This window comes from Homo sapiens, chromosome 22, assembly GCF_000001405.40.
Source record: "Homo sapiens chromosome 22, GRCh38.p14 Primary Assembly".
In the NCBI taxonomy this organism is placed as follows: domain Eukaryota; kingdom Metazoa; phylum Chordata; class Mammalia; order Primates; family Hominidae; genus Homo; species Homo sapiens.
In genome coordinates, this window is record NC_000022.11 from 36847372 (window position 1) to 36861221 (window position 13850).

Consider the following 13850-nt stretch of genomic DNA (forward strand, 5'->3'; position numbering starts at 1 on the left):
TGGCATGTAAAACAGTGGTTCACCACATGACACCTTCATTCAAATGGGCTTGCAGATTGGCTTAGCCTGTGAGAGGACAGGTGTAGGACTGACAGCCCTCGACAGATGGGAGCCAGGTGACCTCCCACCAGGGGTCTTCATCCGTCAGGTAGGACCAGCATCTCCAAGTGCGGAATCCCCTCTCCTATGTGGCTGTTGCTTCATGTTTTTTCATGGCACCCAATGGGTTAGCTTGTTGGTTGCTCATGTAGTCCGTAGAAAGCCATCTTTGAATAGGTGACAAAGTTTGAAATGTCTGCAAGGGAACCAGCAGAAAGTGGTTGAGGTGACCCTTCCATGGGGGGAGTCTCTCTACAAGGGTGTATCCGTGTGGAGCTTTGGCAGTTCCGAGCCTCCGTTCCCTCCTGTATGACATGGAAGCTGTTGCCACCAGCAGCACTGCATGGGCAAAGGGAAAGTACCTGGCCAGCCCAAGGTCCCTTCTCCTGGGTTCTCATCAGGTTCCAGTGTCCCAGGCCATGTGATGGAGGCGAAGCTAGGGCACCCTCTGGAATGAGAAGCATGAAACTCAAGTCCCAGCTCATCTCTGTGACGTCCAGCAATTCATTCCCTCCAAGCTCCAGTTTCCTCATCTGTGGGAGGAATACTGTAAAGAAAAGAAAAAAATACATATTGCAAACTTTCAAAAGTGAAATGCTTATTCTGGTGCATTCCTGGGGGAGAAGGGAGCAGATGACTTCCAAGTTCAGGAAAATACCTTGATTCATTTTGGTGTTGTTTTTGCTGAAAAGGAGAGGCCTTCTGGGAAAAGTCTGGATAAAAGACAGTTGCACATACAGAAAGCAATCAACTACTTTGTGGAAAAAAGTTACAAGCATTGGTCTCTCCTCCCTCCTGAGCCCTTGTTGACATAGAAAGAAAAAATATCTATATCTATATCTATCTATCATCTATCTATCTCTATATGTATATGTATGTATGTGTATATAAAGGATAGTCCGTCAGTCAAGGACAAAGAGAAGAGAAAGAGCATCAATGGATGTGAGATGGTAATACACTGTGGAAGGCGGGATTTGCTTCGAGGAAAGGTAATATATTCAGAAGGGCAGCAAACCTACACAATGGTCAGGTGTGGTGGCTCAGGCCTGTAATCCCAGCACTCTGGGAGGCCCAGGCGGGTGGATCACCTGAGGTCGGGAGTTTGAGACCAGCCTGACCAACATGGAGAAACCCCGTCTCTACTGAAAATACAAAATTAGCTGGGTGTGGTGGTGCGTGCCTGTAATTCCAGCTACTCAGGGGGCTGAGGCAGGAGAATCGCTTGAACCCGGGAGGTGGAGGTTGCAGTGAGCCGAGATCGTGCCATTACACTCTAGCCTGAGCAATAAGAGCAAAACTCTGTCTCAAAAAAAAAAAAGAAAGAAAGAAAAGAAAAAGAAAACCTACATTACGCAGAGCGGAGCACCAGTGAAAAGAAAACCAATGAGCTCAGACCCGCCCCCGCCCCCCACCCCCCCGCCACAGGGTCCCCAAGGTGAGGGGAGCAGGTGGAGAGGACGACGGGGGTGCAGTGAGAGCCAGCAGCCCGGGGCTTATCCTTGAGCCTTCTTCGGGAAGTCGATTCTCTGAGGATGGCAGAGAGGAGAGTCTCAGGACACCACGGCCACCAGCATAGCGGAGGCCTATGAGTGCCCTACGGAGGGGCATGTGCAGAGCCCCTCATCCCCTGGTCATCCCTACACCTTCTGCCCTTCCGTTAGAGTCTGTAGATAGGGTTTTCGGGGGATAAGGGGCAGGTCCACGCCCTACAATGCAGGGCTCCGGGAGGTAGGGGTTTCAGATGGGAGTGTGTGGGGGCAGAGGAACAAGGGGAGAAAAGACCCTTTCCCTCCCTCATCAGAGAAGAAGAAGACTTTTGGAAAGACCTGGGAGGGGTGCTGGAGAAAGTCTAGATCCTGCTATTAAGTGGAAGGGGAAGTGGTCTGAGCATCAAACTTTACCCTGAGGCTGAAGCCCCTTCTAAGATCGTTGTGAAGCCCATTCTAAGATTCTAAAGATCACCTCGTGATCTTTCTTATCGTCCCCAGGGCTCCAGGGCACCCACCATAACACTCCTAATTCCATCATCTTAAGCACTTACTGTGTGCCAGGCAGATGTTCCATTTCGAACCCTTGTGATACCTTTCTAGTGGATGGCGTGTGGAGTCTTTAAGGAGAACTAGGAATTGGTTAAGCAGAGATATTGGGGGTGGGGGGTGGAGGCACTGGAATATGCAAAGGCCTGGGCACATTGGGGCTTGAGGGACCACCTGCCCCAGTAGTTTTAGCTGGGAGAGGAGAGGAATGAGTCTGGAGTTAGGCTGGAGCCTGGCTGAATGAGAGCGATATGGACTCGTTTTCTTAGCCACCGTGAGGCCTGGAGGGATGGGATGTGTGGGGTTAGTCATATTCAGGAAAGGCCTCCCAGGAGCTGGTGTGGATGACAACCCGCAGGACGGATGGAGGACAAGACCAGGTGGGCCACTGTTGAAATTATTCAGGCAGGAGAGGAGGAAAATCTGAATTTAAGCCCAGGCTGTAGGGATGGAGGAGGAGAGGCAGTTAGAGGGAACTTAAGGAGGTGAAATACATTCCTGACAGATCGGCTGTGGCAGGCCAAGGAGACAGGAAGGCCAAGGTGACTCCAGGTTTCTGTCTTCCGTAAATGGTGGAGACAGAGCTCAGGAGGAGGGGCCGCTGTGGAGGGAAAGGAACCACTGGCTTGGAGGGGCTCGGGGAACAGCTAGGGAGAGGTAGGGGGTCCAGGAGGCAGCTGGGACACACGGCCTGGTGCCCAGCGAGCGACCGCAGAGTCCTCGGTGTGCAGATGGTAACAGAGCGCTCGGGAGTAAGGAAACCCCCACTCAGAGTGCATGCTGGGGAAGGTGGCTGAGGTTGGAGAGGCATCTGGGAGGAGCCCCAGTCACAGAGGAGAAGCGGTGGGAGCAAGTGGCACAGGGGTTGGGGGAGCCGAGGCAGCATTGTGGGTGGTAGGTAATAGCAGAGGCCAGGCCAGGCGCAGTGGCCCACGCCTGTAATCCCAGCACTTTGGGAGGCCAAGGCGGGTGGATCACCTGAGGTCAGGGGTTCAAGACTAGCCTGGCCAACATGGTGAAACCCCGTCTCTACTAAAAATACAAAAATTAGCCGGGCGTGGTGGTCCACGCCTGTAATCCCAGTGACTCAGGAGGCTGAGGCAGGAGAATCACTTGAATCCGGGAGGCAGATTGCAGTGAGCCAAGACTGCGCTACTGCATTCCAGCCTGGGAGACAGAGTGAGACTCCGTCTCAGAAAAAACAAAAACAAAAAACAAATAGCAGAGGCCACAGCTGCAGAAGGACCCCAGGTGAGGGCTGGGGACAGGAGTACACTGAGGGCTGTGGCTAGGAGGTCACAGCTGGGAGCAGGTGGCCGAAGGGCCAGGAGCTGAAAGGCCAGTTACAGAACTCCCAGGACTGCGTGTTACAAAGCTCTCTGGTTCCTGGCTGTGCAGCTCCGAGAGAGTGGGGCACCCTGGGCAGTCGTCGCCACACTGTGGGCATGTAAGAGGGAAAGCTCTCCCCTTAACGTAGAGGGCAGAGCTCATGAGGAGCGAGAGATGCTTTTATTTCAATCACCTGGGTCCTGGCCTCATCCGGCAAGAGGGCAATGTCCGAGATCAAAAGCCCAGTCCTACTGCAAGTCTACCCACTTGCTTTGTCTCCTTCTTCACTCTCGGCCTCCATCCTCCCCTCTTTTTCTCCCTCCCTTCCTCCCACAAACCCTTATTGGTCCTGTTTTGGACACTGGTGATTCATAGATGAATGGGACATGGTTCTTGCCCCCAAATGTGCCCATGCTATGGAATCTTCAGCAGGAAGAGGTGAGAAGTGAAGACGCTGACAGAGGCTGGAATTAAAGTGACAGCTCTAGCTGGGGAGGGTGCTGCCCCAGCCTTCCAGGGAAGTCTTTGACCAGTTTTGAATCTTAGGTGATGCAAAGAATCAAATGGATGAAGAAAAGCCATAAAATCATAGAGATGGGAGGAAGACGGGGAGAATGCATCAGGAGAGGTCAAGTTGATGTACAGGACAATGAGCAGGCAGAGGAAGGGAGGAAGGCATGTCCTGGGGCCCGGGCTGGAGGGAGGGTGCGGGTGGGTGAGGGGCTTCAGAGTGCTGCAGCGCAGAGGAGGGAGGAGAGGGCTGTGGAAAGGGGAGGTTGCCATTCCTTTGTAGTTAATATTTGGAGGCACGACTGATTTTTGAATATAGTTTCATGCAGATGCTGGTCAGCCTGGAGCCACACTTTTCTGCTGGCTGTAGATTTTTCCCCTTTTGATGCCTTTAGGAAAATCAAATTCCAACATGTCTGTGCTGGATAAACTGCAGCTAGAGGAGCCCTCCTTTCCTGGGGCACTTTCAAAGGCAGTGGCATCTTAGCAGCATCAGGAACCAGAGGTAGACCCTCAGGGAGGAGGCAGCCCTCAGGCAGCTGCTCTGCCTCACCCCTCACCCAGGATTCACCTTCCTGAGCTCTTTTTAACTGTCGCAAGGTAGTCTCTTTGCTGTTAACTCTGGTGCAGCGTCCACACAGACCTGCTTGCTTTTATAAATAAAGTTTTATTGGAAGATAGTCATGCACATTCAACTATTTATTGTTTATGGCTGCTTTTGTGCTGTGACAGCAGAATTCAGCAGTTGTGACAGAGACCAACTCCCTGCAAAGCCTAAACTATTTACTATCTGGCGTTTTTTAGAAATTATTTTTCAGCTGGGTGCAGTAGCTCACACCTGCAATCCCAGCACTTTAGGAGGCTGAAGCAGGTGGATCACTTGAGGCCAGAAGTTTGAGACCAGCCTGCCAACATGTTGAAACCTCATCTCCACTAAAAATACAAAAATTAGCGGGGCGTGGTGGCAGATGTCTGTAATCCTAGCTACTCAGGAGGCTGAGGTATGAGAATGGCTTGAATCCGGGAGGCAGAGGTTGCAGTGAGCTGAGATTGCACCACTGCACTCCAGCCTAGGTGACAGAGCGAGACTCCAACTTAAAAAAAAAAAATGAAAGAAAGAAAATGAAAAGAAAGCATTTGCCAATCCCTGCTCCAGTGTACTGGGTAGGGTACAGGTTCAGCTGCTGTAACAAGCATCAAAGAATCAGCTGCTAAAACACAATAGAAATTTCTTTCTCCCTGAAAAATCTGAACAGAAGCAGGGTCAGAGATCCAAGCTGTTTTGTTGCTTAACTGTTCTCCATAGCTGGCCTCTCCAGCCAGCTGGAAGGGGAGATGGGAAATGGAAGATACACCTTCTGTCTTTCACGACACAGCCTGATAGCATGTCCATGGCCTCCCCTCCCATTCTATTGGCCAGCAACTGGTCACATGGCCACAGGGAGCTGCAAGGTAGGCTGGGAAATGTTCTCTTTAGCTGGGTGGCCATGAGTCCAGCCACAACTCAGGGACTTTATCACTAAAGGAGAAAGGACAGAGTGGATCGTAGGGGATATTAGCAGTCTCTGCTACACCTTATCAAGAAGAATAAAGACAGAGTGCACAGGGGAAGGATTTGGCATTCCCTGCAGAGTATTAGAAAAAAATTTGTAACATGCTCAAATGAAGTAGGTATCAATAACGGATATAAAATACCTCCTTCTTCCACTTCCTCCCTCAAATATTTATTAAGCCCTCATTTATATTAGGCTCTATTTGGATGCATTTTGCAGATAAATAACCTGAAGCTCGGAGTGCTTGAGGGAGATGTCTGAGAGTTCATAGCCAAAGAGTGAGAGCTCTTTCTGCCTTATTGCCTTGCTTCCCTTGGGACACCCTGGGGCTGGGAGCTGGGCCTTGCAGCCTGCTAGGCTGGCTAGGTTTGGTGACACAGAAAGCAAATGAATAATTTTTAAAGTGAGAATTCTATAAAGGAGACTGCTTGAACAGATTCTGTTAGACTGAAAAGGCAGAAGGAGACACCGAGGTCACCAGAGATAGAAACTTCAGGAAGCAGCCATCACCCCTGCGGCTGTGGGAACGGAAGGAAGAGAGCGGGGTTACGCTAGCCTGGAAGCTTGGAGGAGGAGACTTAGACCTGCGGGGAGGAGCTGGGACTCAGAACTGCAGACCTCTGAGGAGGGGGTGGGGTGAGACTGGCTCTGGGAATGTGAAAAAAACTAAAACCTAGAATCAACTGCTGCTGGGCCAACATGGCTTCCAGGGCAGGGCAGTTGGGTCCCGCCTGCAAAGAGAAAGAAGCAAGCCCCTCCTTCCTCTCCCATCCTTCCGGCCTCCCTCCAGCGCCCCCTCCTGGCCAAGGGCAGCGGAAATCAGCCAGCAAAGCAGAACAAACAGGGTTTTGAGTCCCAGCTCGGGCACCACAAAGCAGAGGGTAGAAGAAAGGTTTGGAGCTGGGAGAAAATCATTTAATAACCAGCCCCAAGGCTATGACTCATTTAGACCCCCAGTCTGTGCAGACCTGGGGCCACTGCCTCTGAGCCAGTGCACACCGGGTACTCTGGAGCCTCTGTCTTCTGATACATGGGTCAGGGGGAATGCAAAATGATTCAACCACTTTGGAAAACAGTTTCCTTCTTTTTGTTTGTTTGTTTGTTTGTTTGTTTGTTTGTTTGTTTGTTTTTAGACCGAGTCTCGCTCTGTCGCCCAGGGTGGGGTGCAGTGACGCGATCTCAGCTTGCTGAAATCTCTCCTGGGTTCAAGGGATTCTCCTGCCTCAGCCTCCCGAGTAATTGGGATTACAGGTGCCCACCACCATGCGTGGCTAATTTTTGTATTTTTAATAGAGATGGGGCTTCACCATGTTGGCCAGGCTGGTCTCGAACTCCTGACCTCAGGTGATTCACCCACCTCGGCCTCCCAAAGTGCTGGGATTACAGGCGTGAGCCACCACACCCGACCTGGAAAACAGTTTTCCTATAAAGTTAAATATGCATCTACCATATGACCCAGCAACTCTCTCTTAGATATTTACCCAAGAGAAATGAAGGCACATGCTCACTCAAACATTTATGCTTGATGTTTGTAGCCCCTTTGTTTTAACAGCCCCAAACTGGAAAACAAAAAAAAAACCCTAATGTTTATGAACTTGTGCATGGAAAACAACTTATGTTATATCCATACAATAAAATACTACTTGACAATAAAAAGAATGAATACCGATGTACATATCAACACTCATGAATTTCAAAAGCGTTATACTATGTGAAAAAAAACAGGCACAAAAGATCACATACTCTGTGGTTTTGTCCGAAATTTCAGAAATGGCAAAATACTGTGATAGAAAGTGGATCAGTCATTGCCAGGGCCTGGGGGTAGGGGAAGGAGATTGGCTGCAAAGTGTCCTGAGGGATCTTTTGAGATAATGGAAATGTCCTATATAATGATTGTGGTGCTGGTTACACAACTGTCCAAACCCATGGAATTGTATACTTTCAGTTGGTAAGTTTTACTGTGTGTGAATTGCACCTTGATAAAGCTGATTTTTTAAAAATTGAAGTAGAACGCTGTTAGAAGTGGTGCTTCCTCCCCTTGTTTCTAATGCCACCCTCTTGCAAGCCCATATCCAAGTAGTGGACCAAGGCATCTTATAAAAACATAAATTCAATCATATCACTCCTTGTTTAAAACACTTGAATGGTTTCTCTTTCCTCTTTGAATGAAATCCTGAGAATCACCATGACTTACAAGCCTATCTGTCCTGCTCACTGACCCTGACATTTGGAGGGCCTAGAGCAATGGGACAGAGGCCCATGTACCACGATTCTAAATATGTACAGTTAGGAATCAAGCCAATCAACTGCTAAAAAGTAAGTTCTATCCTTCTTTGATAAATGTACCTTCATGATAAACTGGAAGGCCAGGTTCAAATGTAGAGTTTGGAGTTCTGTCCCAGAATGTAAGGTTAACGAAAGGCAGACGCTAGACTATAGCCTACTGCCATTGCCTTTCCACCCCCGGATCCATCTGAAACCTCCAGGCTACCTGCCAGGCCGCTGTAGACATTTGTGTCCATAACCTCTGGGGACCAAAGACAGCACTGGAGATGGAATCAGAGAAACTGGATGTGAAACATGTATCTCTTGGTTTTCCCCAAATTGTACTTGATTCTGTATGTGTGTACATGTTTGAGCATGGGTATGCATGCACGTGTATATTTGCATGTGTGTGCATGCATGTATGTGCATTTCTATATGCCTGTGTGTACATGCATGTGTGTGCAGGTGTACATGTACATGTGTATATGTATGTGTCTCTGTGTACATGCCTATGTGTGCATGTGTATATGTACATGTGTATGTGTATATGTGCCTGCGTGTGCATGTGTATATATGCCTGTGTGTGCATGCATGTGTATGTGTTTATACATGTTTGTGCATGTGTATGTGTGCCTGCGTGTGCATGTGTATATGTGCCTGTGTTGTGCATGTGTGTTTATTTATGTACCTCAACAGCAGTGTGAGCTACCTGAGGGCAGCAGTTGTGCTGAATTCATCTCAATATCCTTTCTACCTGGTGCAGAGTGATACTAGATGAATGCTTGTGGAGTGAATAAATGAATGAATGAGGGCCAGTACAGCAGTTATTAAGTGTGGGTCTTGAAGCCAGACTGATGTGAGGTCCAAATCTTACTCTGCCGGTCATTAAGCAAGCCGCTTTGGTTTATTTTCCTAATCCCGTAAAGCCTGGGTTTCCTTATCTCCCGGTGGGGATAAGAATACCACTATTTTATGGGGGTTGGTGTGAGGATTAGGTAACAACAATCAGAGCCAACATGGACCAAGCCAGGCTGTGGGCCAGGCACTGTACTAAGGGCTTTGCAAATGCTAGCTCTCGTGCTCCTCCTGGCAATTTCACGGTGTAGGGGTGGTTACACAGTCAACTCTCAGAGTGACTTGGCTGTTACCGTATTTATGATGGTGGAGAGGAGATTCAGGATTCTTAGCCCCTGGGGGAAGCTTCCCCTGAGTGCAGCTCAGATTCTGGCTGATAGGGCTGTCTGGAGAGGTTGTCTGAGCCAGCAGGCTGCGCGCTCTGCCTGGCCAGCTGCAACTTGACTCTCGACTTGGCCGGGTCCTTCTAGTGCGGCTTATAGCATTCAACCTCCTCTAGGTGGCGCTGCGGAGCGGGGACTCGGCTGCTGATCGCGGCGCCCCCTGGCGGTCTGTTCCCGTCAACATTTAGATTAAGCGCAGAGCCGGTTCCGCCAGGGAAGTGCGCGTCCCGGTGCCCCCGCGTGATGAGAGCGGATGACAGATTGCGGGAAAAAGTTAGAATGTAACGTTAGTTGTATGACAGAGAGGACCAAGCTGTGCAGCAGAGGGAGACAGAAAAGGGAGGGACCAAGCCACAGCAAGGAATGATCGTCAATAACATTAACGTCTAGAATTTATTGACCACCTGCTATGCGCGAGCCACTGTCCTAAACATCTGGTATTCATTCCCTTAGTTAACACACCTCTAGTAAGTGCGTGTCTCAAGAACAGTGTCTGTGTTTCATTTAGGGCCTAGCACACAGTGGGTGTCTGGCACATAGTAGGTTCTCAACACATTTGGAAATGAATAATACAATAATCCTGCAATTTTTCTCTCCAATTAATAATGTAGAGGCAAATATTATCTCCATTTAGAAAACTGAACAATGGTCGGAGAGTTTGCACAACTAATGCGTGACACAGCGAGGGCACACGAGGTTTAGACCCAGCTCAGCCGTGTGCCAGGGCTTCTCAGAGAAGAGAAGACCCTCTGCCTTCAGGGAGTTTGCTGTCTAATTGGCCACGTCTACACCCTCCCTGCCTGGGTGGCATGCCAGGGATGGCTATTTATGGCTCAGGGAGGAGGTCCAGTGAAGTTCCCCTCATAAATTATAAAGGGAGACACATGTGGGTCAAGATTGGGGAATTCAGTGTGTGAGGGATCCCCAGGAATCTTACACTGTCCAATCAGGGATTTTCCTTCTCTTACCCTGGAGAGTGGCTGATGTAGGCAGTGGGGATTTGCTGAGTACCTATAATGAGCTCTCAAGGGTATCTCCTGGTCCTGTAGAAGAGGCTCACCTCCTCCCTATCACAGAGTTCCAGTTCCTATGGCTGGAGCTCTCAGCCCCAGCCGCTGGCTGCTCAAAGGAGAGTTTCCTCATGTCCAAAATGGGGGCTATGGTTTATCTTGTATACCCCAGCACCTGCATGAGGAAGGACTGAAAAGTGCTGTGCACTTTTGTGATTCGCACATCCAGTCCCCATTCAGGCTCTGGGGATCCCCCAGGCATGGTCTTGGTGTATTAGACTTTTTCCTGGAGATGTGATTATGAATGGGCATTAGTAAGTGGTGTTATGCAGAGATGCCCTTCTCTGAATGGCCTCTGGTATTTGTTTTTTGAGTTCTTGAGAACATATATATTTTTTGGTATTCCATGGTCTTTATCATTGTCAGGCTGTCACTGAACTGTCGCTTGCATTTGGCTGCCCCTGGTAATTTTCTTCCTTCCCCTAACTCACTGCTTCAAGTTCTTGAGTTGGCAGGAAGAGAGGACCAGGCTCCTTTTATATTTCTTCTGTGAATAAAATATGCCAGTGTCAATGCATAGACTTTGAGCTATCAATTCTAACCATTCAATGGCTTTTCTCTTTTTTTGGTTTATTCACAGGCTGTGGGATGTGGAGGTTATCAAAAATCAGGTCTCCATAAGTGAGAGGTCACTTCAGGCATTTCTTTGCACTTATCCAAAAAAGATTCCATCCATACTTGTTTAATGGAACGTGTGAAGAGCTTGGCTCCTCTTCCAGGTCATCCCTCTGCCTCATTCTCCCCCTGCAGCAGGAGCAGCAAGAGCCCGGTTCTGGAGTGGGAGTAGAAGGTACAGGCATTGCTGCAGCGGCAGGACAGGAGCCCATTGCTGACAGAGTGCCTGGCCTCAAATTACACTGTATCAGAGCTCGGGCATAAAATTGGCAGCAGCGTTCTGTGTATGAGGAGACAGAGAAATACCTGTATTCAGCAGAACCACGGGCAGGGACAGAAGAAAAGGAGAGAAAGAGGGGAGGAGGGGAAGAGCTGGCCCGTCGCGGGCTCTTCCCTGGACATCTTTGTCCCCCAGGTGCAGAGGTGGCTTCCCAGTGGCTGAGTCAGGGCCACAGGAGGTTTCTTGGGGGGTTGGGGGGGCCGGGGTTTGGAGGGCAAGCCATGAAAATACCTGGGAAGGTAAACTTGAGGGCTTAACCCACCTGAAACACACACATACAGATATACACACTGAAAACGATTAAAAAAGGAATAAGAAATGTCCATGTGTCTAGGCACTTTTATACAGTTTTCTATTAATTCCTACTACAACTCCATTAGGCAAGACTGTTTCACAGATTGGTGAAGAAGAAAGGTTCAAAAAGGACATGTTATCTTGCCTGAGTTCACCTATTATAAATGTACTTGTGTTTATACTCATTTGTCACCGACTGCAACCTAAACATCTAAACACATTCTCTCACAGCCACAATGCCACCACTATACACATTATATGGTCTTTTATAGACACAACACAAATGCACTTACACTTGCCTATGCGAGCTGTATGTGTTTATACACAAATATGTGTTTCCAACTATAGGCATATACTACACACACAGTTTACACAATCACCTACAAATTCTGTATCATGCTTGCTTGCTAAAATTGTTTTGCCACTTCCTGTCCTTCCTGACCAACTGTAGGCCAATGTCCTCCTCTTCCCTCAGTTATGGCTGTGTGCTTGCACCTGTTGGTACTTACAGACACCTGCACTAATAACCCTGCTCTGTGTTTCATTTCATCCTCTAGCCTGGGAGCCCCGAGACACCAGCAACTCATCAGACTTATTGTTTGTATTATTTCTAGTTCTTTGGGTGTGAATTCTTCATGATGTGGAGGCTCTGAGCTGTCTTTCACAGCTCACGATTTGTAGTTTTGGTCTGTGAGTTGACAGAGTAGGCCCTGCAGAGTCACTGACTCCAAGCTGTTTTTATATAATGCCTCAGCTTAGGATTTCTGCACCACGTGGGTAGCTTATATCGGGGCCTTACACCAGTGCAGAGGGCAGGCTTGAGGCTGATCTGGTACACACGTCCCTTGTTCCACCCATGGACTGTGAGAGGACCTCAGCTCCTGCCGTGACTCTAGGCTGATGGCTGAGAAACTCTGTTCCCATAATCAGTTCTGACACCCACTTTACACTGAGAACTCAGATTTGACTTTCTGCTAACAGCAGGACCTGTGGCCTGTACCTAGTCCCAGATTTGGCATTAAAATCTCAGCCCAACAATGCATATCCAATCTTGGTTTTCCCATGGGCTGTTGGCCACGTTCCTCTCCCCCTGGTATAGATTCCTGACCCCTCTCTTTGATCCTACCTAAAAATTATGCTTTCTTGTTTTTTTTAGCTGGGACTTGTATGTTTAAAGTAGTTTAAAACAACTTTCTGCTCTGCATGTATGAATACGAGTGTGTGAGCGTGTGTAGCTGGCAGGGAGTTACTGGGTGTGGCTGTGCCAATGACTCCTGTGGACCTCTTCTCAGAGAAGTCCCTTCAGAATCAAATACCCATACCTGTTAGGAGCTGCAGTCACTGACTGGCAGCGTTTCATTCATTCACTGAATATTGGTTGAGCACTTGCAATGTGCCAGGCACGCTGCTAGCCAAGGAGGCAGTCATTAAACATACAGATAAACAAACAAATGTGAGATGACAATAGTTATGAGTGCTCTGCAGTAGACGTGCAGGGACCTGTGAGAGAATGTAGTAGGGAGGGCCTTAATTTAGGGTGTGTGGTCAGGGAAGGCCTCGCTAAAGATGTAGCTTCTAAGCTGAGATGCAAAGGAGGCAGTGAAGAGCTTTTTCCAGCAGAGGGAACACCATGAGCATAGGCCTTGGGGCGGACGTCTTAGAACATTCTAGAAACGGAAAGGAGGCCAGTGAGAAAAAGGGAGCTCAGGAGCAGAGGCTGGGGAAGGCTGCAGGGCCTCAGGGGCATTGGAGGCAGGCAGGGCAAGGACTCTGGACTTTATCCTGAGCACAGGGTGATGGGGCAGGAGAGTTTAAGCAGGGAGGGTGAAACTCACTCTGATTGGCAGCCCTGTGAAAGAGGATTGGCTGGGCATGGAGATCTAAGGATGAGGAAAGGATATCCCAGAGTGCCAGGGCGCGCAAACCAAACTTCACACTCTAGGAAGACAGAGGCCAGAGGAACCAGGAGGGCTTCCTGGAGGAGGTGGCATTTACTCTGGGCCTAAGAGATCACAGGAAAATGGAGGCCAGCATTCTAGGCCTGGGGAAGAGTTTGGGCAAAGGCTTGGCAGTAAGAGAATAAAGGTGGGGCTTGATGGGCCAGAGGATAAGTGACTCCTCAAGGTCACAAGACACCCTGATGGCTGGGACCCCATCTCTGATGGAGCAAGGCTTCTGATACCCAACTGAGGCTTGGCGCCAAGGACTGACATCAAGGAAGTGGATTCCTGCAAACCTGGCACCCGAGGGTCCACTTCCTCAATTTCTGTGCAGCTGGGAGGTGAGGTAAGAGGAAGTGTGGGCCACAGGCTAGGCCCAGAGAGCCTGGAGGAGGAGCCTCTGCCAGACTGGAGAGAAGCAGGCCTGAGCCTCCCCAAAGGCAGCTCCTGGGGACTCCCAGGACCACAGGCTGAGACGAGACGCAGGGTGGCTGGAGGAAGTGAGAGGTGAACTCAGCCTGGGACTGGCTGGGCGAGACTCTCCACCTGCTCCCTGGGACCATCGCCCACCATGGCTGTGGCCCAGCAGCTGCGGGCCGAGAGGTGAGTGCCGGGGTGTGG

At 49.4% G+C, this 13850-nt stretch overlaps 1 protein-coding gene and 1 long non-coding RNA gene across 3 annotated transcripts in view; one reads left to right on the top strand and one right to left on the bottom strand.

Annotated features, from left to right (window-relative positions):
- The window catches only part of NCF4-AS1 (NCF4 antisense RNA 1), a 23072-nt gene continuing 9222 nt past the window's right edge, over positions 1-13850 (bottom strand). Inside the window, exon 2 of the long non-coding RNA NR_147197.1 lies at positions 1-646. This is a non-coding gene — a long non-coding RNA (NCF4 antisense RNA 1). The remainder of the gene's footprint in view (positions 647-13850) is intronic.
- Positions 13635-13850, top strand: part of NCF4 (neutrophil cytosolic factor 4) — a 17010-nt gene continuing 16794 nt past the window's right edge. For both annotated transcript variants that reach the window (NM_013416.4, NM_000631.5), the window contains exon 1: positions 13635-13832. In NM_013416.4, the coding sequence (NP_038202.2) occupies positions 13801-13832 (32 nt within the window). In that variant the 5' untranslated portion in view covers positions 13635-13800. The remainder of the gene's footprint in view (positions 13833-13850) is intronic.